A 27,346-nucleotide genomic window follows, 5' to 3' on the forward strand; every position below is an offset into this window, starting at 1 on the left:
GTTTATTTTCTCTCTCTATAAATTTGCCTATTCGGGACATTTCATATAAAGGGAATTACACAATACATGCTCTTTTGTGACGAGCTTCTTTCACTTAGCATGTTTTCAAGGTCCATCCATGTTGTAACATGTCACTACTTCATTTTATTATTTATTCATTTATTTTGAGATAGGGGCTCACTCTGTCGCCCAGGCTGAAGTGCAGTGGTGTGATTATAGCTTGCTGAGGCCTTGAACTCCTAGGCTCAAGCCATCCTCCCGCCTCAGCTTCCTGAGTAGCTGGGTCTACAGGCACGCACCATCACACCTGGATATTTAAATTTTTTTTTTTTCTATAGAGACAGGGTCTTGTCATGTTGGCCAGGCCGGTCTCGAATTCCTGGGCTCAGGTGATCCTCTTGCCTCGGCCTCCCAAAGTGCTGGGATTACAGACATGAGCCACTGCACCTGACCTTCACTCCTTTTTATGGAAGAATGCTATTCCACTGTATGAATATATCACATTTTATTTACTCATCAGCTGATGGATATTTGGATGCTGCCTACTATTTGATATTATAAAAATGCTGCAATTAACATTTGTGTACATTTTGTGCGTGTGGACATATGTTTTCTTTAATTTATTAATCAAAGTAATATATGTATTTGGTTTTAGAAGTCAAATATTACCTCAAGGCTTCTCATGAAACACCAGTCTCCCGACACACTCCTTCACCTCTGATTCCCATTCCCTAGAACCAAGTATTTTGAACAGTTTTAGCTAATTCTTCTGTTATTTTATTACATATTTCTAGATGTTATGCTTATGGTGTATCTTGATTGGGTTCAGATACCTACATATATTTATGTATATGTATATATATGTTCATATATTTTTTCCTTCCTACTTGAGAGATAAATATTTGACCCTCTCACATCCCCCAGTCCAACATATACATGTTAACCTTCCCATCATCCTCCAGAACAGTTTATAATACCCTTTTATTTAAATCAATACTCAGCTTTTACAGTAACTCAAAATATTCATAACTGAGTTAGGAATATTTTGCATTATGTTTTTGTATCTTTTTTTGATATGCTAGGTTTCTACGTACTTATTACTAATTCTGTATAAACTCTCCAACAGAGCTAAAATTCAATTTAAAACATCAAGAAATGAATCCATTCCTTGTTTCCCCCTTGGAGAGGCCCTTCCTCTGTTCGGTCCTGCTGCCCAGCTGCCTTCTAGAAGCTTCCCTACCTCATCACTCTGGGGACTCCTTTATTCTCCATCTAGGCTGAATCTCCTATTTCTGGACCACATGCCATCCACTTTCTTTGTCTACTTCCTTGTTTTAATGAGCATATCCTCTAGTAGATTCTTGAGAAACGTTCTATGGAACGTAAATTTCTTGAGACATTTTATAGCTGAAAACGATCTCCATTCTTTGAAATCCACACTGGAAATCATTTTCTCAGAATTTGGAAGGGATTGTTCCTGTGTGTTCTAGGTTCCAAGGTTGCTGTTGAGACATCTGATATCATTCTGACTTATGGTCCCTCTCACATCATTTTTGGTTTCTCTCTGAAAATTTTTAGAATTTTTTTTAATGCCAGGTGTTCTGAAAATTGTTGGTGATTTGTCCTAGTGTAAGTCTGTTTTCATCTACTGTGCAAGTTACTCAGTGGTCTTTTCTAATTGGGAAATTCAAGTCTCTCAGTTCTGGGAAATATTTTCTCTCTCCATCTCTCATTTCCTTTCCTCTGTTTCCTATGCCCTATTTCCCTGGGATTACATTTATTTGCATGTTATGCCTCTTGGATTAATCTTCTAATTTTCTTTTTTTCCTCCCATTTCCTGCCTCTTAGCCTTCCTATTCTACTGTCAGAGAGAATTTTTCTACATTTTCTTCAAAACTTCCATTGAACGTTTTATTTCTGCTTTCACCTCAAAATTTCTCTCGTAGTCTGTTTTGTGCTGTTATAACAAAATATCTCAGACTGGGTAAGTTATAATAAACAGAAATTCATTGGCTCACAGTTCTGGAGGCTGGGAAGTCCAATATAAGGTGCCAGCATCTTATGAGGGTCTTCTTGCTGCCTCATCCCGTGGCAGAAGGCAAGAAGGCAAGAAAGCAAGACTGGGATAAACTTGCTTTCTTATAATGGCATCAATTCTACATGGGGCAGTGCCCTGATGGCCAATCACCCCTTAAAGGCCTCACCTCTTAATACTATCACATTGGCAATTAAATTTCAACATGAGTTTTGGAGGGGACATTCAAACCATAGCAATAGCTAAAAACTCTTTTTTTCTGAATGTTTCTTTTTTTATTTTATAAAGCAACATGTGGGTGGGGATAAGGTGGGGAATGTCTTACTGCTCCTTATATAAACTTTCTACTAATCTTCCTATTTTTCAAGTCCCTCTTGCACTCTGCCTCCAAAGGTATCTGGTGCCTCGGAGTTCTGAGCTTTGCTGAGTGTCCATGGTGGGATTTGAATTACTTCTCTTTGGCGTCTCTCATTATAGGGTTAGAATTCAGCTTTTCCATATGTGTTAAGGCTAGTGTTATCACCTATTTCATGGTCTCCAACATACTGCTGACATCTCTGGTATACTTATTGCCTCATTTGATATTGGTGTCTCCTACTAGGAATTCCATGAGGCCAAGGGCCGTGTTTGCTTTATTAACTTCTAAACACCATATCCAACATTTCAGAAATGTTTGTTGAATAAATTAATGAAGAATGACATGGAAAGGAAAGGTGGAAATGTACTATAAGCATAAAGGAATGGCATGTGTGAAAGATCAGGTGGGAGAAATAAAGGTATGTCAAAAATATGACCAAAGCTGGATGCTACTGCAGTCAAGAGAGCGAAGCTGGGGGAAAGTGCAGAGAAAGAGAAAAGCTGGAGGATTTTGCAGAGACCAAGTCATAGTGGATCTTTTAACTGTGTTAAGGAATTTGGGCTTTGCCCTGTGTATTAATCAGTTTTCCAGTGAAACAGAACAATAGGATGTGTGTGTATGTGTGTGTGTGTGTATGTATTTATGTATGCATGTATGTGTATGTATAAAGAGATTTATTACAAGGAATTGCTTCATGTGATTAGGGAGGCTGACAAGTCCCAAGATCTTCATGACGATTCAGCAAGCTGGAGACCCAGGAGAGCCAGTGGTGTAGTTCTAGCCTGAAGGCTGGCAGGCCTGAGACCCAGGAAGAGCCAGCGTTTCAGTTTGAGTCTAAAGGGAGAAAAAAGCCAGTCTCACCTCAAAGGCAGTCAGTCAGGAAGAATTCTCTCTTACTCAAGGGGTGGTCAACCTTTTTGCTCTATTCAGGCCTTCAGCTGATTGGATGAGGGCCACTCCCTTAGGGAGGGCCATTTGCTTAACTCAGTCTACCAAGTTAAATGTTAACATCACCCAAAAACACTGTCACCAAAACACCCAGAATAATGTTTGACCAAGTATCTGGGCACTCCATGGCCCAGTCAAGTTGACACATGAAAAATTAACCACCACCCTGCAAGCAATGGGGAGCCATTTTAGGATCCATATTTACTTTCTAGGGCTGTTTTAACAAAGTACCAAAAACTGAGTGGTTTAAAATAACGAAAATGAATTGTCTCACAGTTCTGAAGTTAAAAATATGGAACTACAGTGTTGTAGGACTGGTTCCTTCTGAGAGTTGTGAGAGATAATTTATTCCATGTGTCTCTCCCAGCTTCTGGTGGGTTTGCTGGCAACATTTGTTATCCTTGGCTTATAAAGGCATCACCCCAATTTCTGCTTTTATCTACACATTTGCATCTAAATTTCCCCTTTTTAAAAAAGATGACAGTCATATTGGATCAGGGCCCATCCTAATGATCTCATCTTAACTTGATTGTCTGCAAAGACCCTATTTCTAAATAAGGCCACATTCATAGGCATTTGGATTTAGCACTTCAATATTTTTGGTAGGGCACAATTCCTAACAGAGTCATAAGTGGAAAGTGACACAATTATACTTGAGTTTTAGAAAAATCCCCCTAGCTCCAGTGAGAAGAATAAGATGGCAAGGACTATAAGAAGAGTGGGGAGAATAAAGACTGGACCATCCCAGAGGCCTTTGCCTTGGCAGGGCATAAGGTGATGATGGTGGCAGTGGGATAATGATATGTGGGTGAATTCCAGAGACAGTTGATAGGCAGAAAGGAGAAGAAAAGACTGATTGACTATAGAGGAAGAGAGAGATTGAATATAATGGAAGGAGCATGGGAAACTGGGTGGTAGAGAGTAGTAACATTCAATGAGATGAGGAATTCAGGAGGAGTGGTTTGGACAAGAGGATTATGAATTTAAGAAATGCTACCTTTGTTCATTTCCATAGAATCTCTATTGGGCTGCTGTTCTCATCACTCTTCTGAAACTGGACTCTACTCAGTCTTCAATGTCCTTGTTTTTATGCAATATTTGACACTGTTAACAATCCTTTCCTTTTCCAATTTCTCTTCTCCATGAACAGTTATTCATATTTAAGTGAAAAATAAACAAGTCTATTTTGAAATTCCAATAATAATCTCCAGTGTCTAAAACTGAACTCATCATTCATTTGACAAAGAAGCTGCCCCTAGCCCATCTCTTCCTTCATTCTGCCAAGAGTGGACTACACCCCCAGGATGGTCCAGAGTACTCCTTGAGTCCTACTTTTTTTTTTTTTTTTTTTGCAATTCCCACATGTGGTCAAAGTTTCATTTATTTTTCCCTCATAGTATTTCTCGGTTTTGTTCTTTCTTTGCCACTTTTGCCTTATCACATTTGGATTAGCTTCCTGATTTCCCTGTTTTTTTTTGTCTCAGTGCTCCTCTCTCCATCCTGCATAGCAGCACCACATGACTCTTCATAAGGCTACAGTTCTCTCCCTTCATTCTCCTGCTCCCTGTGCATCTGAAGTTACTCATTGCTGCTAGAAAAATGTCCAAACTTTGGCTCAATCCATCTTCCAAGCCTCAGAGCAACAACGTAAGCCCTCTAGTGTCTTCAGGCTGGCCTGTCCTTGACCCTCTGGAAGCCTCACACATTTCTCATTATGCCTGTGAGATTTTTGTGCTCACTCTCCCTGCCTGTCTCTCCACTCCCCTTGTCTATAAATCTGAATCACTCTCCTAGAACCAAGAACAGAACCAACTACATAATTTGTGGCCCCCAGTGCAAAATAAAAATGTGGAGTCCTTTGTTTAAAAATTAGGAATTTTTAGACAGTGACAGCAGAGCATTAAACCAAGTGTGAAGCCCTTCTGGGCACAGGCTAGGAGGCTAGCCTGACCAAGAATCTTCCCGTGACCACCAATCTATCCTTTCCTCTCCCGCTAAAGCCTATAGTACTTTTTATAAGACATTCTTGACACTTATTGCATGCCACATTTGTCAACTAATCTTTATGACTATATATCTCTATGTGTTTGTTGCATTTTTATTCATTCCTCAAGCTCTTATTAGGATCATACCATGTACCAGGTACTCAGAAAACAAACCTAAAAGACTCAGTCATATAAATTTGGGAAGTTTGCAATCAGGGAGGTTGCCAAACATAATTATAATACCTTGTGATAAACTCTGATAGAAAGATGCATATGGTACCAAAAGCAAAATGACAGTAAGGTGCCAGGTAGGAAGGCATCTTAGAAGAAGTATAGCTTTAATCACAATGAGATACCATCTCACCCCTGTTAGGATGGCTATTATCAAAAGGATAGAAGGTAAGCATTGGCAAGGATATGGAGAAAAAAGGAAACCTTGTACACTGTTGGTGGGGATTCAGTGCAAATTAGTATAGCCATTCTGGAGAATATGGAGGTTCCTCAAAAAATTAAAAGTAGAACTACCATATAATCCAGCCGCCTGTGCAGTCTCACACAGGCCTGTGCCCAGAAGGCCTCCACACTTGGTTTAATGCTCTGCTGTCGCTGTCTAAAAATTCTTCATTTTTAAACAAAGGACTCCACAATTTTATTTTGCACTGAGGGCCACAAATTATGTAGTTGGTTCTGTTCTTGGTTCTAGGAGAATGATTCAGATTTATAGACAAGGGGAGTGCAGAGACAGGCAGCGAGAGGGAGTGCAAAAATCTCAAAGGCTTAATGAGAAATGTGCCAGGCATGGCAGAGGCATATACCCAAAGGAAATGCACTCAGAACAGATACCTGCACTCCCATGTTCACTGCAGCATTATTCATGACAGCCAAGATGTGACATCAGTCTAAGTATCCAGCATCACATGAATGAATAAAGAAAATGTGGTCTCTATACACAATGGAATACTATTCAGCTTTAAAAGAGAAGGAAATTTTGTCATGTGTGACATCATAGATTAATCAGGGGGACATTATGCTAAGTAAAATAAGCCTGGCACAGAAAGACAAATACTGCCTAATCTCACTTTTATGTGAAATCTTAAAAAGTTGACTTATAGAAGCAGGGAGTAGTTGAGCAATGGGGGGAGGGTAAGAAAAACGGGAAGATGTTGGTCATAGAGTACAAAATTTCAGTTAGACAGGAGGAATAACTCCTAGAGACCTATTGTACAAAAGGGTAACTATAGTTAATGTACTATATCCTTGAAAATTGCTAAGGGAGATTTTAAATATTCTCACGGGAAAAAAAAAAGTATATGAGGGGATAGGTAAGTTAATTAGCTTAGTTTAATTATTCCGCAATGTATACATACATTAAAACATCACACTGTATACCATAAATATATATTCTTTTATTTGTCAGTTAAAAACGAAAATGATGTATAGCTGGGCCTTGAGAAATATATAGAAGCTGGCCAGATAAAGGAGGGAGAAAAGTGATGAAGGCCATTTCGAACAGAGGGGCCAGCATATATGAACAGAGCGGGATGCTATATACATCTAACTGAAATGTCAGCTTCTGGAGTACAGGAATTGCACCCTTCCACAGCACCTAACATGGTGCGTTGCACATAGAGCAATTTCAATGCATATTTCATTAGTTGAGAAAGCAAGCTGATTCTATAAACAATATGGCGTTTTAACATTAAACCAAAGAGCTAAAGTAATTAGACATTTTAAATATATATCTAAAATTCGGCCAGGCACGGTGGCTCACGCTTGTAATCCCAGCACTTTGGGAGGCCGAGGCCGGCGGATCACGAGGTCAGGAGATCGAGACCATCCTGGCTAACACGGTGAAACCCCGTCTCTATTAAAAATACAAAAAATTAGCTGGACACGGTGGCGGGTGCCTGTGGTCCCAGCTACTCGGAAGGTTGAGGCAGGAGAATGGCGTGAACCCAGAAGGCGGAGCTTGCAGTGAGCCGAGATAGCGCCACTGCAGTCCGGCCTGGGCGAAAGTACGAGACCCTGTCTCAAAAAAAATAAAATAAAATAAAATAAAATAAATATATATCTAAAATTCATTCTCTAAGCACGATAGGTCTTCCAGAGAATTTATATACACAGCTGCCATATGAAGGTTGACTTTACATCTGTTTAATGCTAATTTGACTATTCCTTTCTGATAACAATGTAAGAAAAGTTAATTATAGTTATTATTTTCAGGTAGCTTAAGAAAGAAAGAGGGCTGTTCATGACTTGCAATTTTTTTTCATAAAATGTCAAACACATAAAAATGTTGTCTCTGCAGTATTCCTATGTATTAAAAAGTGGAACTCAGCAAATGATGCAGGCTACAACCATTTCAAAAGTAGAAAATTCACTTACCTGTAGCTTATAACAACTCCCTAGATATTTACTGACATTTTACAACCCATTTGCATTTACAGAGTCATTGAAACAGATGCCAGTTGAAATTGATTGTGCTACTTACCTTCAGTTTCCTAAGCTGGAAATACAGTATTTCCTCAACTTTTGTAAGATATGATGCTGCTGCTGAGACAATGTTTGAGACTCTTCGAACCACCGAGAATACAAATATAGGAACAAAGGTTTTAAAATAAGCATACAGAAAATAAAAGAAAAAGAGTGTGAACTAAGTAATTCAATGGGAGAGTAAAAACGTTAAGTCGTGAGCATTTTAACAATGCTCATGTTAAAAGGTGAAAAAAAAACACGAAAAAAACTGGTAAGAAAAATATTTGAGAGCATGATACGTAGAAAAAGCAAAAAAGGCCAGATGTGGTGGCTCACTCATGTAATCCCAACATCTTGGGAGGCTGAGGCGGGAGGATCACTTGAGGTCAGCAGTTCAAGACCAGCCTGGCCAACATGGTGAAACCCTGTGTCTACTGAAAACACAAAAATTAGCGGGACATGGTGGCGCACATCTGTTGTCCCAGCTACTCAGGAGGTTGAGGCAGGAGAATCGCTTGAACCTGGGAGGCAGAGGTTGCAGTGAGCTTAGATAGTGCCACTATACTCCAGCCTGGGCGACAGAGCAAGACTCCATCTTAAAAAAAAAAGAAAGAAAGTAAAGAAAAATGTAAAACAAAAAGATATGGAATCATAAATCTTAGAGACAAACCCTAATTCCAGTATATACCAACAATCCTGGAGTAAGGCATTTTCCCTTTTCTCAGCTAAACTTGTCTGTACATTGAAAAAAAGACCACCTGTATCACAGGGTTACTTCTAAGAATACATGAGAAGATGATGTATGTGTTAATATACCTAACACAGAGGTCATAATTAGTGCCAAATTTTAGTTGAATCTGAATTTTATAAATTGTGATTTATATAAAATGATTCATCATTTCATTTTGCCATCAAATTCATTCATTCAATCTTTTTGTACTAAGACTCAAGTAGGATTCATTTTGCATCTGTGGGATATCCCATGCTGGGTGCCTTAATCCATCACATGTAATACTTCCAGCAAATCTAGGATATCCATAGGTGGCATTTTTCTCTATTGTAAGGTAAGGAAATTGAGGTCCAGATGAAAACTCTATCTTATTTGCAGCTGCAATATAAAAATATTTCTGGCAAAGTTCTCCATTCCTTAAATAGAGATATGAATCAGCTGGTAATTTTCTATAAACTAGGCCAAAGGATAGTCAACATAGCTCCAATGAATTCACATGACCGAACTTCCTTATTTCAATCACTCTTAGTACTTTTTATTAAGCAAGTATTTACTGTATGTAAGAAAATGTTGAAGATGACACAAAACAAACATAGGTAAAAAGAATCAGGAAATTTGATCAGCAGAGAGTGAAACTATGAAATTGGCCATTTTAGGTTAGTTTGGTGGCAGAAAAATGGAATGGAGGGGACGTGGCTGGAAACAAGAAGGGTTAGGAAACCATGGCTGTGGACAAGGTTTGGGGCAATGACCGCTAGGCCTGGGATGGTAGCAAGGGGCATGGGGAGCAAGAGGCAAACATAAGAGATATTTCAGAGGCTACTGAGGGTAAATGAGAAGGACAAGTCAAGGATAATTTTGAGGTTAATTATCTGCTATTGGATGCTTGGATGTTTGTCCCCTTAAGCTCATATTGAAATTTGATCTCCAATGTGGAAGGTAAAGCTTAATGTGAGGTGGGAGGTGTCTAGGTCATGGGGGTGGATCCCTCATGAATGGCTTGGTACTACTGAGCAAGTGAGTGAGTGAGTCCTCGCTGTTGGTTCCCATAATAACTGGTTGTTAAATAGAGTCTGGCACCTTACCCCTCTCTCTTGCTTCTGCTGTTGCTGTGTGATCTCTGCACACCAGCTCCCCTTTGCCTTCCGCCATGAGTGAAAGCAGCCTGGACCCTCACCACAAGCAGATGCTGGCACCATGCTTCTTGTACAGCCTGCTGAACCATGAGCCAAATGTGTCTGTTTCTTCATAAATTGCCCAGCCTCAGGTATTCCTTTATAGCAACACAAATGGACCAAGACATCATCTAAAGAATTTAGAGAGTGGTGATGCCCTGGACAGAACTGTGGCATTTAGGGAAGATAAAGATGAAATCCAATGGATTACAATGAGGTTGAGGCAACACTGAAGAAGCTCAGGAGAGCTGGCCTGTGGATAATGCAAGGTATGTATCCAGAGCTTAGTGCTAGGTCAGGGCAGAAGATATAGATTGGAGCCTCATTAGCATGGAGATGACTACAACTGTAGGAAAGAGTTAACTGTCTAGGAGGACGCATTGGATGCAAATGAGAAGAAGTTTAAAAACTGACATCTAAAATTAAGAGGGGAAAAAAGAAGAAAGGCCCATTTAATCAATTTTTGGTGTGCACCTTAATGGAATGTATTTCAATAATAAAGGACTACCTTTTATTCCTGTTTTTCTGTGCCCAATAAAAGATAAGTATCAATAAAGGAGGAGGTACGAGCACTATACATTATGTTTATTTTAAGAAAAATAATATTCACAGCAAGAAAATCATGGCTAAAAATAAAGTCCCTTGAATATCAATAACCCATTTCCAATTTACCAGTGTGTAAGATCTGCTTCTATCATCCAAACTCTGGAAATGTCCAGCAAATCTGAGAACTTGCTTCTGCCTGCAATGACTACAGCCTCTAAATTCATACATTCCTTTCCTCATTCATCCTACTTTTCACAAGCTACTCACTCAGCCAAACTTTGACAACAGAGAGGCGCAGCAGGCAGACATACTCTCTGCTCTGGTGGAATTCATAGTCTAGCCTTGGACAATCTGCATCCCACCTCTTTCCTATACAAAGTTATCAGGATTGAACCTCAGTGACATTTAACTAGTTCTACTTGTCTTTCCTATTGTCCTTTGGCTATGTACCTTTTATAGATGAAGGCAGGGTGCCTGTTAATCAGCAGAGGGAGGTCTTCTTTTAGACGAATTATGAGGTAACCACAAAAGGTGATAAATATAAGTGCAAGTGGCCACACATTTTAACCCAACTGATTGAGGGGCTCCCACGACCACTCTACAGGGCTGTGTCAGTAGTCTACACAGCAGAGGGTTTCAGACTTATGAAGGCCGCCTACTCCCTTATGAACTCCAGTCAAAGGAATGAGACCATAGGAGGGAAAGGGATCCTCTCACCACATCTCCCCTCTCATTGCTCTTTCCTGTCTAAATCAAGGGAAAGGAAGGATAAGGGAAGAGAAACAAAATACATTTTTTAATTTAAAAAAAAGTACCAGAATGAATAAAACAGGGGCTTTCCAAAACTGCTTTTGGTAGATTTAGCAAACCTACTGAACTTAGAAACTTTCATTTTATAATTGTCCGGAGATAGAAAGCAGTGCTTCCGAATAAGTGGATAACTCTGCCGGTCCCAGTAGGTGCCATTGGTGAGCACACAGGGTTGCTTAAGTCTCTAAGTCATTTCCCTGACTGTGGTTTGAATCAATGTCAAATATCTACAGGGGTCAGGCAGGTAACTCAATGAAGTGAAACAGGTTGCACAGATGTCACAGGGATTGCCACACACGGGAAAATGTAAGTCTTATCTAAAGGTAGCAGCAGAAAGAATGTAGGCTTAAGAGAAACCAGAAATCTGGATTTTTACATAAAAAGTTGTCTGATTTTTAATATACTGGCAACATTTTTTCAATTAAATATCATGTTGGCTAATCTGTAACTGACTCATCTAGACATCACTAATTTACAACTTCTGGTCTGTGGCAAGTTTGCAATGTTTGTACAGAAACATGGAAGTCACTGCAGGGTTAGAAACATAACTTCAGCATTTACAAAGAGTGCAAAAGACTTAAGAATGCTGAAAGAACATAAAGAAGGGGCATACAATTATAATTATGTGTTTAAAACAGAGATCTTTTAAACACATAAAAATGGTGATGAAATGAGTATTACTGGTGCATATGGAGTGAATTGGTTGAGCAGTAACAATAACACTGAGAGACTGATAATAAATCATGCAAAATGTTGAAATGGGCTTGATCTATGCAATCATCATCATTAGCTAGGAACTAGGAAGAAATCTTTGGTGTGGTAAATATTGGATGGCTAATGTTAATTTAGAAGAAGTCTAGGAATTTTGAGTAACGTATCATGGTGAATTGCTGCTAAAAGTTGTCGCAAGGCCTGGATGATTCCATTGGTTCAATGCCTGCTTCACCAAAATTTGTATTGGGGTTCCAGTGCAGATTCATTCATCCATTCATTCATTTGTTCAACAAATACTTGAGTACTTACTTTATCTCAGGTACTTTTAGAGGCACTGGAGATACAAATGCATAAATAAGACATTAGTTCCTAACCTTATGGAATTGACATTCCAGTTGAGAGAGACAGACGATATTTAAGATAACTAAGTACATATTAGATAGTAATAAGTCTTAGGGAGAAAAAAATTAAAGCGCAGAAGGGGAATGTAAGTCTATGTGTGTGTATGCAATCAGGGTTGAGGGTAGTGTGGAATTAAAATTCTTAATGACGTTACCAGGAAAGGCCTTTCTGAGAAAGTGACATTTGAACAAAAACATGAGGGAGGTAAGGGCAGACAGTGAGGGAGTGCAAGTGGAGCAAGCCCTGAAGATATCAGGGGTAAGAGAATTCCCGGCAGAAGGAATAAGCGCAAAGGCCCCGAGGGAAGAGTGTGTGTTTCATTTTCAAGGCCAATGCGAAGAGGCAAAAGAGGGGTAGAGTAGTAGCAGATAAGGTCAGAGAGGCCTGATCACACAGGGCGTTGCCTTTTACAGCAGAGGAGGCAAGAAGCTATTGCAGGGAGGGTGGTCTCATCAACAGAGTTACAAGATCTGATACACATTTTTAAAAAGATCTTTCTAACTGCTGTGTCATGATTAAACCAAAGAAGGGCAATGTCAGATGCAGTGAGACAAATTGGGAGGCTGTTGCAATAATCTAGGTGAGAGATGATGTGGCTTGGACCAAACTCTTAGCAGAGGAGACAAAAGTTGTCAGATTCTGTGTACATTGTGACAGTAGAGCTGATAGGATTTGCTGACAGATTCTTTGTGGCACATGAGAAAGTGAAGAGGTAAGTATGAATCTAAGGCCTTTGGCCTGAACTGCTAGAAGGATGGAGTTGCCATTAACTGACATGGAGAAGACGGGATGAAAATCAGGCCTGGGGATGGAGAATTGCAGAAGCTCAATTTTAGACCTGTTTATCCTATTAGGGTTCCAATCAGGAGATCTGAGTAGACAGTTGGATATAGGTGTCTGCAGGTCTCACTGTAGATACTAAGTTGAAGTCATCAGCATATCAATGGTATTTAAAGCTGTGAGGGCTGAGTGCAGTGGCTCACGCCTATAATCTCAGCACTTTGGGAGGCTAAGGTGGGTGGACCACCTGAAGTCAGGAGCTTGAGACCAGACAGGCCAACATGGTGAAACTCTATCTCTACTAAAAATACAAAAATTAGCCAGGCTTGGTAGCCCATGCCTGTAATCCCAGCTACTTGGGAGGCTGAGGCAGGAGAATTGCTTGAACCTGGGAGGCGGAGGTTGCAGTGAGTCGAGGTCACACCACTGCACTCCAGCCTGGATGACAAAGCAAGACTCCGTCTCAAAAAATAAAAATAAATAATAAAGCTGTGAGATTGGTTGAGATCACCTATGGAGTAAATATGAAGGAGAAGGGAGGGTGGTAGCAGGGTAAGGGATAATAAAACTACATATTGGGTACAGTGTAAACTACTAGGGTGACAGGTGCACTAACATTTCAGGCTTTACCACTATACAATTCATTCATGTAACCAAAACCCATTTGTACCTCTAAAGCTATGGAAATGAAAAAAAAAAGAAGAGATAAACTCCAAATTCTGGGGCATTCCAACATAAGAGGTTAGGAAATTAAAGAGGAACCACCAAAGGATACTAAGAAGAAGTTTTCAGAGAGGCAGGAGATAAATCAGGTGATTGTGATGACTTAGAGGCCTAATGAAGACTGATCTGTAGGGGAGGAGAGGGAGCCGCTCTGAAGAGCTGCTGATAGGCCATGTAAGAGGATGGAGAACCAACTGACCACAGAAGGCGCAAACATGGAGGCCACTAGGAATCGTGTAAAGATAGTTTGATGGAAGAGTGAAGCTAAAGTCCCACTGGAACGGTTTCCCAAAAGAATGAGAGGGGAGAAATTGGAGACAGTAATTGTAAACAATTTCAGAAGATTTATTGTAAAAGGAAGAAGAGAAATGTTGAAGCTGGCTGAAAGGGGAAGTGGGCTCAAGAGTTGTTTTTCTTTTTTAAGAAGAAAGAAATAGTAGCATATTTCTATGATTCCGGGAATTACCCAGCAGCAGAGAGAAAGGGTTGGGGTGGGGATGGAGAAAGAGAGACGGAGAGAGAGAGAGAGAGAGAGAGAGAGAGAGAGAGAGACTTGCGGGAGCAATTTTCTTGAATAGATGAGAGGATAAGATCTACTAAACAAGTGGAGGACTTGACCCTGGCTAGCTGCAGAGACAGCTTATCCACAAGGGCAGGAGAGAAAGCACAGTAAAGGGTCGCAGGTGCTGGGAGGTGCACCTGGGGAAATTCTTCTAATTGCCCCTATTTTCACAATGAGTGAGGCTGGGGAAGGAGCTACACAAGGGCTGTAGTGAAAGGAGAGTGTCTGAAATATTGTTTAGGAGTTTGGAAGAATGAATGCTTTGGGGAAGATGGTATAATGGCTGAGTAATATTCAAGGCTAGTGATGATCAGTTTAAAAATATTTTTCTTTTAATTAACTTTTAATTTTGAAATAATTTCAGAATTATAAAAAAGGTGGAAAAATAGTTAAAAGAATTCCCATATACCCTTCACCCAACTTTCCCAAATATTAGCATCTTAACATTAATACAGTACCATAGTATAATTATCAATATTGGGAAATTATCATTGATCCACCATTATTAACTAAACTACAGACCTTTTTCAACTTTGATAGATTATCCTATTAGTAAGTATCCTTTTTCTGGACTAGGATCCAATCCAGATCTCACATTCCATTTAGTTGTGATATCTCCTTAGCCTCCATTAATCTGGGACAGTTCTTCAATCTGTCTTTCATCATCGTGACACTTTCGAAAAAGTCCATCATAGACTGTCCCTCAGTGTGGGCTTGTCTGTTTCCTCACAATTTAATTCAGGTATGTATTTTTGGCAAGAGTAACACATTAGTGATGTTGTTCTCTCTCAGCACATCATATTGTGGGGTACATGATGTCTGCAGGGGCCCCCCCACTGTAAAGTTACTATTTTTCCCTTTGTAATTAAAAAGTAGTTGACTGGCCGGGCACGGTGGCTCACGCCTGTAATCCCAGCACTTTGGGAGGCCAAGGTGAGTGGATCGCCTGAGGTCAGGAGTTCGAGACCAGCCTAATATGGTGAAACCCTGTCTCTACTAAAAATACAAAAATTAGCTGGGCGTCGTGGCGGGCACCTGTAATCCCAGCTACTCAGGAGGCTGAGGCAGGAGAATCGCTTGAACCCGGGAGGCGGAGCTTGCAGTGAGCCGAGATCGTGCCACTGTACTCCAGGCTGGGTGACAGAGCGAGACTCCATCTCAAAAAAAAAAAAAAAAAAAAAAGTAGGTGATTATGAATTTAAAATAAGGGCATTCCAAGTGGGCTTTCTCCCACCCTGTTCAGTTCCACTGGTGTAGGTATTGAGTAAGTGGAGAGTTGATTTAATATTGTGGTTTATCAAGTGAGCACCTTAAAGCGTAACCTAAAACAGTTGCAGATGTCATTCAAGAGGAGGGTTAACTGCCTCAATAGATTTTTGATGTAGACCAAAACAATCAATTATATTAATAGAAAGAATGTCTGATAGATTTTATATGATCTCAAAGGCGGAAAACAGACCTGATTTTAAAGTTTCACAGGACTAACTTTTATACCCATCTTTAGTGGAAATGCTTCTGGGGACCTCTAAGAAATACTCCTTAATCTGTTTTAGTCACTAAGGATTTATACACAAATGTATTGGAAAATAGCCTTCTGAAATTTAACATGTCCATAAGTAAGGAGGTTCTAGATTTGGAGGTTCTAGATTTTCATTAATGCATCCAATAAATCCTTATTGAACCAATATCTGGACCAAAACCTGAACACCTGGTGTGTGCTACAAGTGATAGAGAAAATTAAAAATATGTCAAGTGTCTAATTAAAACATCCCAGGAACTCTGAAAAGTCAGAAAGCGGAAATATGATTAATTATTCTGAACTTCTGACATAGGAGATGAGCCTAACTAAGCATTTTTCTTACAATAAGATCTAAAACTACTCTGTGGCTTTAGCTGTGTACTCTCAAAGAAATGTAGAGAATAGAGGCCTGAGGTGAGACAGGAAATACACTAGACCACAAGTCAAGAGATCTTGAATCTAAATTTGATTGGGTGGCAACTTGTGTGTCCAAGTCAAGTTGGGATAGCAAAGTGGGTAAGAGCTCATTCTGTGGAGTTACAAAGGCCTGGGTCCCAAATCTAGTCCCTGGGTTTATGGTCTTCTTAATCTATCTAAGCCTCAGTATCCTTATTAGCAGACAGGAAAAGTAAATAGCACTTACATCATAGCCTAGTTGCGAGGCATAAATGAAGAAATGCATGGAGAGTACTTAGTATAATGACTAACACACAGCATACGTTCTAAAAGTGCTAGTACTAATATTTAATCATTTTTATTACTATAATTAATGATTAGTCACCCTTCTGTGCTTAATTTTCCATATCTGTAGAGTGAGGAGAATCAACTAGACTAGAACTTCTCTAGCATGAATACATACATGAAAAAACTATCCCAGACTTCCAGAGTTGTCTTTACCTATTTCTGTTACATAAGCAAACAGCAAACTTGGGGTAAGCTGCTAGTGCAGTTAGATCATAACTATAAATCCAAATAAGCTTAAAATTAAGTTCAAAACACACAGGAAAATCACACTAAGATTTCTAATGAGGTTAGTAGTGACTTTCTGGAATTAAATTCATGCTTTGCCCTGTGAACCTGGTGCTGACCCCCGAGGCCCAGGGTGGTCTGCGTTCACTGCCCTGTTACCTACCGTGCATTTTGCAGCAGTTCAATTCCTCTGCTTTGCTTTCTTTGAACTACTGCTATCTCCGGTGATGTCATTTGGCCTTCACTTTGCACAACTCATTATTCTGTCAGAGCTGGATCTTTCCTCATTCGCCCTTGAAAATTAAGAGAATAACTTGGCCTCAATTCCAGATTCATCTCTTAATGCAGATCCTGTAGCTTTCCTGCTCTAAATCTTCCAGTAGCTCTCCACTGCCTGTCAATATCCTAATATTTAAGATCCTCTCAGACTTACATTCCTAGCCTGACCTACCCAACTTCTTCTCTAGTCAAACTGGAATATCTACTAAGCGCCCCTTTAGAATTTTTTAAGATTTCCTTTGTGGCCCATCTTGGTAAATATTTCAAGTATACTGAAGGGGAATGTGTGTTCTTTATTTATTGGATACAGGGATCTATATATCGATCAGATCAAGTGTATTACTTGGTTTATTGAAATCTCCCATATCCTTAGGAATCTTTTGCTTGCTTGAGCTTTTATTTTCTAAGAGACGTGCTTTTTTTAAAAAAAGGTTCTCATTTTAGAGGTAGATTTATCAATAGCTCCTTGTCATTTTGTCCATTGTTGTTTCTGGTATTTAGAAGTTATGCAGTTAAGTGCAGACAGTCATATGCTGGCACATCACCTTGATGAATCATTTCTTTGTATCCTTAAAAAATAAGCCTATTAGAGTCTACTTTGTCCAGTATTAATATATTGTTTGCCTAGCCTATGGTCAGCTTCCTTGATATGCTGTGGGCTAGAGAATGGATTCTCTAGTCCCTGTTTCAGAGAAAGGGTCTCAATTTTGAGGCTCTCAGATTTATGCAGGCTGTTTTATTTCAGTTCTCTGCTTGCTGCAGACTAGGGAGTTCATCTCCACTTCCCATGTAGGTAGGACAATCCCAGTTCCCCACCCCTAAAAATCAGACCCCCCGTGGACCACCAGGACTTCATCTCCAGCTCACTTCGCTGACATTAAGTTCTTTTTCTTCTCCCAACATCAGGGATTTCCTTTTCTGTTCATCTCAGCTACATATTTTATCTGGCATTCCTATGTATTTTGGGTGGACAAGAGGCCATCCACATCAGCACTACTGGTCACATAGACTGAAAATGCTAGCATTGATTTCTAACTAACTAAACAAACTATACATGCTTGAATGTAAAATGACTTTGTTTACATTATATATATATATATGTATGTATATGTGTGTATGTATATAAAGAGCACAAGAACCATTTTAGAGTGATTTAGCAACAAATCAGTTATATGTCACAAATCAGTAATATGTAACAGTAATGAGTATGGTACTACCTTTATACAATCAACTTTTGAATTATCATTGAGAAAAAATAGTAGTTGACATTTATTGAACATTTTCAGTGATCCAGGAACTGTGTTGAAGCATTTTCAGGATTTTCTCATTTAATTTTCACAACTCTGTTTGGGGTAGGTGCCATTATTGCCTCAATTTTACAGATGTGGAAACTAAGACTTAAAGGGTTAACTTGACCAAAGTCATATAACTGGTAAATGGTGCTGTCATATTCAAACCAGGTCTATCTAACTTTAGGGCTCACATATGTAACCACTTCATATTTCATCTTACACAGCTTCAGTAGGCAAACGGGGCATATTGAGTATCCATAGTATCTCTTTAAAATCATTAGGGATCTCTTAAAAATCATACAGGGGCCAGGCATGGTGGCTCATGCCTGTAATTCCAGCACTTTGGGAGGCTGGGGTAGGCAGCTCGCTCTAGCCCAGGAGTTTGAGACCAGCCTGGGCAACATGTCAAAACCCCGTGTCCACAAAAACTTTTTAAAAAATTAGCCTGGTGTGGTGGCATGCGCTATAGTCCCAGCTACTCAGAAGGCTGAGGTGGGAAGATTGCTTAAGCCCAGGAGGTCAAGGCTGCAGTGAGCTATGATCATCCTACTGCATTCCAGCCTGGGCAACAGAGCAACACCTGTCTCAAAAAAAAAAAAAAATTAAAATTAAAAAAAAAATCATTGGAGGAAGAAAAAATACTACCATGTAAAAATGGACAAGGGACTGGATAAGCCATTTACAACAGAATACACTCAGTAATAAACATACAAAAAAAGTTTAAACTCATTAATAATCAAATACTAATTACAATAAGATGCTATTTTCTTTCTGTACTGCAAAGGAAACAATAGAATGAAGAGATAACCCATGGACTGGGAGAAAATATCTGCAAATCATATACTGGATAAGGGGCTAACATCCAACTTAAAGTACTCAAGAACAAGAAGACAAATAATCTTACTAAAAAATGGGCAAAGGACTTGAATAAACATTTCTCGAAAGACAACATACAAGGTCGGGCATGGTGGCTCATGCCTGTAATCCCAGTGCTTTGGGAGGCTGAGGTGGGAGGATCTCCTCAGCAGGAGTTTGAGACCAGCCTGGGCAACACTGTGAGACTCTGCTCTACAAAAAAAATTTAAAAATGAGCTGGGCACAGTGATGGGTGCTTGTAATTCCCAGCTACTCAGGAGGCGGAGGTGGGAGGATCGCCTGAGCCTGGGAGTTCGAGGCTGCAGCGAGCTATGACTATGCCACTGCACTCCAGCCTGGGGACAGAGTGAGACCCTATATCCAAAATACCCAAAACAGTATAAAATCATATAAAGAGCATTTTATTAGTTTCAGAAGACAAGATCTTAATCTCATCTCTGACTATGGCTGTGTGGCCTCCCCAGAGGGTACTCACTTCCTGTGCTTCACCCTGTTCCATCAAAAGTCTGTCCCTTCTACTTGGGAGAGGTGCTATGAAGTACTAGAAAGAAGGGTGCCTGTTAATCTTTGGGCAGATGTTTCTGAAGGGCAGAGGTCATCTGAGGGAGGTCTAGAGATCAAGCAGAAGAGCCGGTCTTCCATTTTGGCTGGAGTCATTCCCTTCTGGGGTTCCTTAACCCTTTAGCCAGAACATGTCATCAACTCATTCAGGAAGTTCTGGCCTTTAAAATCCACATCTCCACGACTGTAAGAAGCTCTCAAAGCCCTCAATGCTCTATTACTTTTACAGCTCACAGAAAACATTTATCTTTGACTCTTTGCCCCATGAAAGTAAGTAGGAAACATAAATATATTTATTAAGAAACACACTAGGCCAACTAACTCTAGCCCTCTGGTATGGGTCTAGAAATCATAGCCATTCCAATTCATCACAGCTTGTCCTACAGTGCACAGTACAAGATTAGCAAAACCAGCCCTTCTGGTTTTTAACTAACTGATTTCTATTAAGCAAATGGTGCCAAACCGGATTTGTTATACTCATGGCTCCACTTTCAACCCCTGTGGTCTCTCACTTTAACTCCTTTCAGAAAGCTGGTATCATCATTGACCCCATTAGTGCTGTCTTCTTTTTACCTTCACTGGGGACATCAAGTGTCTCACAACTATGTACTGCCAATGTCCTCAGTCAGTGAGTGTACAGGGTGAGGCACTTTGCTTTTTCTTTTCTTAAGTAGGAACACTTGGGTAAAGTGATACACCAAGTTACAAATCCTCTGGAAGCAATCCCTTCTAATGTTGTGAGTCTGGGAGAGAAGTAGGGAGTTGGGAAGAAAGGAACGTTCTGGCTTCCTTTGCTCCCACTGAGAGCAGTGGTGACCCAGAGCCTCCACTGGGCCTAATTCAGATGGTTTGGGAAGTGATGGTGTGTGTGTAGCTCCTGGGCACAAGGAAGGTACCCCAGCAATGGCCATGCAAGTTTTCCATGAGAAAACTTTCCAGGGCAAGGTACCATCCAATGAGAAGCAGAAACACAGACTGTCTCAAGGCTGAAAACACCTAAAACCATCTGATTTGGTGGTTTGCATGCAACCTCTTATAGCCATAGGACCTTTTCTTCAAACAGCAGAGCCTAATATGTCAAACTCATACAAGCATAGTTGCTTTCTTGGAATTGCAGTGGGGAGAAGAATAAAGCCCCACAAACTGTCTTCCCCATGGCTTCTGAATAGAGCTAGACACTATATTCTTTTCCTTGGTTAGGGATTACCTCACCTGGAAAACCTGGCAAAGGAAATGAAGAAATTTTCTGCTACCTGGGGCAGGGTGGAGAGAGAAATATCCTGAAACTTTAATTCTACCCTGATAAAATTTGGCATCGTATTATAAATTTGGCAACATATTATAAAGTGGAGATTGCAATTGTCAGAAATGTAGCAGAACTGTCAACAGCATACTAAACTATGTGACACTGAAATGTGAGTTACACTTCTAGTTGTCTAGTTCTGGTATAAGAAATACAAATTCTTTACCAACACTCAACCCACAGAATACAATGGACTCTTACATGTCCCGCCCTTACTCCCATACACAACTTTTAGCCTCATGTACTTACGAATAAAACATATACTCAATAGGGCAGTAGGCATAAGCAGAATGCTAGGTTTGAAAAGGAAATCATATCTACTGTTTAAGGTCATATGTTGACATTAGAATGAAGAATAAGTCATTATAAAGCATTTTTTCTCACCTGCGGTTCTAATTGCTACAGGTGTTTGCTGAGGGTTGAATAGAGAGCATGCAGTTCAGACACTTTATTGATATAGTACATGTTCCTCCTAAGTTTAGGACTAAATCCCAGCCAGTACAGGGACTCAGTAGACTCATCTACCAAAGTCCGGTGTGCACATTAGAAAAAAACCTAAGAAAGATCATGTGCATTTAACACCTTTCCCTCTAGCCATTCAAAGGAGCTTCACATTGCAGCCCTTTTTCACCTTTGTTAGGCACACCAAGTGGCCTGGAAGATGCTGAGAACAAAGAGGCTTTCTTCCTTGGGTTACCGGTTGAAATACATCATCGATTCAGCCCGGCTCAATCAATGGTGACAGCAGCTCGCAGACCCAACTCACGTGGGGGAGAGTCAAGGCCTCCTTACAACACTGTACCAGGACTCCTTCAGGCACGAGCTCTCCCACAGCTCCTGTGCCGCCCAGAGGAGTATAAAGACCTGTGACAGAATGTGGGACACTGCCTAGAGCATAGCATTTGTGCCACAGTCTGAGAACTGCAAACTAGAGTTGCCAACATTTGGAGACATTAGGAAAGTTAAATGTGAAATTTTGTGGATAAATTTTGTGGATAAATGCCCAGGATGTATAGCCCTCCAACATTTCAATTAACGTCAACTATCATCACATAAAGCAGGGGTGTGGAGACCGGAAAACTGGGCTGTTTTATTTTAATTTTCTAACAACATCTACTGCGCACTGACTCTGTGGCTGGCACAGAACTAAGCCTCTGACACAGATTATCTCTTTAACTCCTCACAAGACCCTTTGGTAAGTACCATTTTAACCCAGTTTTACAAATGAGGAAACCCTGGGGCTTAGGTTAAGTAGCTGGTCCAAGGGCACAGGGCTGACAAGTGGCAGCCAAATGTGAACCCAGCTGGGTAGAGCTGTGCTATGCTTCCTGTGCTTGAAATTTAATGCAGATGCCAGCATCCTCAATTAATATAACAATTGTGAAGCTAAAATAAAATCAACATTTAAAACAGTGCCTTCCCCATACTAATGTACATTGCTCATGCTAAGCGCTTAATATTAAGGAAACAAATATTATTTAACTTTTTTTGGTGAAGGACACAATCATACAATATATACAAATATCTAATATTAGCTGGTTGCAGACAGTCTAAAATGATCACTGCAGCTAAAAAAAAAACCTCAAAATGTTTCTGAGAATCAAAGGAGTGTGAATAAACAACACTATTCTACCAAAGCAATAAAATAAAAAATTGTTTTAAAAAAAACCCTCAAGTAGTTATAATGCAGATAAGTGTAGTCTTTGGAAATGATTTAAAATTTCATTTCAATGTCTAAATTATAAAGCCTCAAATTAATCATTATAAGTTGTTTTAATAAAGTTTAAAGTTTAGCACCTAGTGAAGTAACTTATGCATAGTAGGTTTCCAATAAATGATTCTGGAATGAATGACTAAATTCATGAAGGCACTTTTGAAAACAGACAGACATTGTCCTTTCCTTGTGTTTGATTTTTTTTTTAATTCCATGATAAAGGTTGCATGACATTTCCTTATTAGTAATTTTTTTAAAGGAATCCCAGGATCTCCAGTTCAAACAAAGGAAATAACTATCACCTTGAAAGACAAAAAGAAATAATTGGCTGAAAATAATTAAAAACAAATGAAGTGTTTGTCTTTACAGTGAGATATGGGGATAAAAAGAGTAGCAGCTTCTTCAAAATATCTTTATTAACATTTGAGAAAATATAAAACTATTCTCTAGGCAACAGCATGAAAACACATGAAATAAGTGGGTACATTTAAGCCACTGTGACTGAAGAAGACATTTCCCCGTACATATAATTAATATAAACAGGTAAATTCAGACCAATAAAACACTTCTTTCTCAAAAGCATTTTAGTGCCCTGTGTTACTCTGGAGACTCAGTAGTTGAACAAATATGTGCTCAAAAATAACTATTCATTCTTTAACAGTACTTAAAAAAATTAATATGAACATAAAAACACAAATTACTCCATTATTTCCATAAGGTAAAATATTAGGTTAAAACTACAATGGCCAAACTGTTTAGCAAACCTCTGTCCTATTTTAAAGGGAAATAAATAAATAAGAGATAGGTCTATGGAAAATAATGAAGTTGTCTAGCAACACTTTTCACATCACTTCCACCATTTCAACAGAACCAACAGCAAATCTAAGGTTCCCCAAGCGTTTCCCACTTATTAGGGAAATCGATAGCATTACCTGCGGGGTGCCTGCGGTTGCTTCTGCATAAGGCTTTTATCTCATTTTAGCAACATTTAAAAAATGCAGGATGTCTATAACCTTGGCACTCATCATTACGCTGGCATCTTTAGTACAATTTGCTAATAGAGTGAAAGCACTGTGGTTCAGTTTGGGAAGCTTCTTCATAAGGTTCTGCCAAACTGCAAAGGGGACGGAACAAATAAATAGGCTGACCGTACATACATCAGAAAAAGCAGACCCTTAAAATCCAAAAGGGAGTTATTCATTATTTCAAAAACACGTTATTTTACAAAAGAAGAAAGAAAATTGAGGGGATAATATTTTCAAAAATATAAGAACTATAAAATAATCTAAATTGAATTTTGTTTGTCCTGTCTAAACTCATCCTATACTGATATATCATTTCCATAGACAAAGCGAGTCAGATGTGTTAGAATAACATATATACATATAAAATATACCAAGCCATGGATTTAATTTTCATAATAACTATCTCATTTGCCTAAATGTTTGGTACTAAGTGGTAGAAATAGAAGACAAAATGTTCACACCTGAGATTACATATTAAACCGCCCTAGGTTTTAGTCTCATACTTGCTAGAAGAAATCTGCAAGGAATGATACCTGGATGCCTGCGGATTCCAAGTGTGACAAAGCATTTTTTGAAAAAGCATTCAGAAGCCTTGCTTTCGACTACACAAAGCTAAGCATAAATTTTAAAGGCCAAACGTCAGTCAGTAAAACTGAATTCCTGTAGTTCTCATGGTTCCAACGATCTTGAAGAGCATAGGTACCTGACTCAATTTACACTGTCATTTTTTATGCTTAAAAATATAAACCTTTTTTCACATTTACAAAATATGCACGATATATATTACTTGAGACTAATCTTAGCCACAGAGCTGCCTTTTATTTTCAGCTTTGTATTTCTGAGAAACTAATGAATCTATGGTGTAGATAACAGCAAAAGTGGAAATAAATTCATAGTCTGGGGCAGCAGTATAATTGGGACACAGTAAACTTACAAGGAAAAGAAACAGTACACTACTACTGTAAAGGAAAACAAGTTGCATAATATTTTCCAGAGTCTGATTACTTTTTTGTTAAAACTTTTCTACTTTTTTCATTGATTGTTTTAAAACATGTTTGCTACTAAGGAGAAAAAGGAAGACATGGTTATGGTGTGAATCTTGAAAGATCCCCAAAGCTAGAAAGATTTATACAGAAGTCTCTCATTTTCCAACTTCTGTTATAAAGTTCCTGCGCTAGTACTTAGAAAAAACCAAACCTGGAAGGAAGCTCTACCTAGTTTACTTTCTGAGTTCGGATTTCCGCATCTATCAGATGAGCTCTTTCTAGTGCTCTTTCCCCCTCAAATCTCCAGAGAAACACGCACATTTTTGCAAACACACACGATGTATCTATGACTGCACACACAGGTTCATCAACACCATGACAGAGGCGACACGTCACAATATGATAACCAGAACAGAGGACGATGACAGTGAGAAATGGGTTTCTTTTATGGCCCGCTTGGATCCCTAATGCCCTTATTTCTACACAATCCAGCCTCAGCCAGGAACTTTAAAGGATCAGAAAGAGAAAACAGGTTGCATGAAAGGAAGAGAAAGAAAACCGAATGCCCGCTTTTCGAGAGCACTGCAAAATTAGCCCCGGGACCCGGCTGCACAAAAGTGCAGCCTTAAAGAATGCCAGCCCATATTCTAGACACCCAAGTAAAGCATCCTGTAATCGAGAGAAAATAATAAATAATAGTGGTCATTGCCATTAAGCATAAAAATAGTAATAACAATTGTCACCACGGCGTTCCGTACAGCAGCTGCGCGTGGAGCCGGCTTCTCCTCCGGCCCCCACGGCCCGCAGCTTCCCCTGCAGCCCCACAGTGCGTCGGAGGAAGGCGAGGGCTCCGCGCGCGCTGCACCGTGGGCTGGGCCTGCCCCTCCCGGCGCCCGCCTCGCCTCGCCTGTCCCGCGCCCGCCTCGCCTGTCCCGCCCCCGCGCCTGCGCGTCAAGTGGCTGGGCTGGCTTAGCGGACCCCGGTTGCTAGGGTGTGTCTCCTTGGCCTCCTAGAGGGTGGGGATCCGTGGTGCTTCTTCGGGAACAGCCTCCTGCAGGAAGACCCTCGCTGGACCTTTACCTCGCTGCCTAGATTCCGAGGAAAAGGAGATAGGAGACGAAAAGCCAGTTGGTTTGGAAAGCGGCCGATTATCCTAAAGGGTAGTGTGGGAGTCCAGCACTTCCATGCCCCTCTTTGGGTACTACGGAAGGGAGATTTCCAGCATCGTGTGGAACATATGACCAGGGAGTACACCTTGAGCGCTTGTGTGCAGTTATCTTTTGGCGGTAAACGGCCCATTTGTGCAGTTTCAGGGTGTTCCCTTCTAGGCTATCAATGGAATAATGCCGTGCCAGGCACTTTTGATGTTGCCCTGCAAACTAAAAGCACATTTTGGGGGTGCATCTTCTCGCATTATTTCTAAACAGTATGAGTTGGGATCCAGCAGCCCTGGGAAATCTCATTATAGTGAAACCCATCTTATTTTAGGATTGAATTGTTTTGGCCCAAGCATAGTGGTTGAAAAACAAGCCATTATAGAAAGAAAACAATTTGTTTGTGAATGGTTAGATATGGTGGGTCTTCAGAGGCTTATCTAATGAAGGCATCTTCTACACATTTCTGACCAAATTCTCTTTCTACATTTATAGCGATAACATTTTGGAGAGAGAGAAAAAAAATGTCATTTCGACTATTCTGAAAAATCAGTATTTACTAGTTGAAATAGCATTGGCAAATTGAACTTTGTACTAACATGGAAAATTGTAGAATGATCCTGGGTAGTAATAATACACATATTTTTAAAATTCTATGTTTACTTATAACCCTACATTTTAACTGGATTCTTTCTATTAATAGAAGTTTTAAAGAATTATTTTCTTACCCTCTTTTTTTTTCATAAAGGAATTCTGCCTGGATTCAGTAGAGTATTGGTACAGAATGATTTTCTTTAAGATGTAATCTAAATTCTTATTATTTTTCAACAATTCAAACATATTCAAAACCTTTTCAATTCTCATTTAAACCAAGGATTATGAAAAACAGCACTTATTATTCATTAAAATGCAAAAGCCCCCACTGCTTCTTCGAAGACCCTTACCTCCAAAATTCACTAAGCTGTCTTTACATGAGAAAAAAACCCATACAGGTATGTGTATTAATCAGATATGTGTATTAACATTTATGTATCTTTCATAGAAATTCCTTGACTTGCACAGCTCAGAATCACAATAAATACACTCACTAATAACTTACAAATGTTTGTTGTCAGGTGATAACATCCAATTCAATTCCACAGATGCATTTACTGATACTTATTGGTGGACTTAGTAGATTCAAGTTTATCTCATCGATAAAATTTACTTGTAACCCCAGAATTGGTACTCAAAGGGCTTTCTCAGTCATGCGTGGATATGTGCAGAGCACTGAAAATGAGTCACCCAACACACATGCCTCCAGCTGAGGTGGAACAAGGCTACCTCTACCTTCTTGTTTCAGCTCTCATATTGTAAACGGGTACTGTTTTCCCTGTCTGTTTAGCTCTATGTTTCTTGAATGTTTGTGCTTTTAGTTAGTGATTT

At 39.7% G+C, this 27,346-nt stretch overlaps 1 protein-coding gene and 2 long non-coding RNA genes across 25 annotated transcripts in view, besides 1 other annotated feature; 2 read left to right on the plus strand and 1 right to left on the minus strand.

The window, feature by feature from the left end:
• Window positions 1-2,330: 2,330 nt before the first annotated feature.
• LOC107984578 (uncharacterized) lies at window positions 2,331-25,646 on the minus strand. 3 transcript variants are annotated; one of them, XR_001749863.3, is made up of 4 exons: window positions 23,689-25,646; window positions 16,895-17,024; window positions 7,818-7,899; window positions 2,331-3,227 (listed from the first exon to the last, which is right to left on the minus strand). It is a non-coding gene; the product is annotated as an uncharacterized LOC107984578 (long non-coding RNA). The 3 variants fall into 3 exon arrangements; XR_001749864.3 differs by lacking the exons at window positions 2,331-3,227; window positions 7,818-7,899 and adding an exon at window positions 8,385-9,804; XR_007063783.1 differs by lacking the exons at window positions 2,331-3,227; window positions 7,818-7,899; window positions 16,895-17,024 and adding an exon at window positions 22,944-23,058.
• Window positions 2,726-7,987, plus strand: LOC105370192 (uncharacterized). Its single transcript, XR_007063784.1, has 3 exons — window positions 2,726-2,811; window positions 4,826-4,988; window positions 7,774-7,987. It is a non-coding gene; the product is annotated as an uncharacterized LOC105370192 (long non-coding RNA).
• Window positions 25,478-25,807: a silencer, noted in NCBI's record as "silent region_5319". NCBI's record gives its function as "represses an Ori minimal core promoter by ATAC-STARR-seq in GM12878 lymphoblastoid cells {active_cell/tissue: GM12878}" and the evidence as "EXISTENCE:reporter gene assay evidence [ECO:0000049][PMID:35858748]".
• Window positions 25,722-27,346, plus strand: part of LRRC63 (leucine rich repeat containing 63) — a 65,188-nt gene continuing 63,563 nt past the window's right edge. For 17 of the 21 annotated variants that reach the window (XR_007063660.1, XR_941519.3, XR_007063667.1 and 14 more), the window contains exon 1: window positions 26,672-26,913. Coding sequence is in view for 8 of the 21 variants with exons in the window: in XM_047430137.1 (XP_047286093.1) it covers window positions 26,829-26,913 (85 nt within the window). In the remaining 13 variants the exon portion in view is untranslated. Of the gene's footprint in view, window positions 26,054-26,671; window positions 26,914-27,346 lie in introns of those variants that run through there. The other 4 variants (XR_001749498.2, XM_017020422.2, XM_017020431.2 and 1 more) reach the window with 2 other exon arrangements.

The sequence above is a fragment of the Homo sapiens genome, chromosome 13 (genome assembly GCF_000001405.40).
Source record: "Homo sapiens chromosome 13, GRCh38.p14 Primary Assembly".
Classification (NCBI taxonomy): Eukaryota; Metazoa; Chordata; class Mammalia; order Primates; family Hominidae; genus Homo; species Homo sapiens.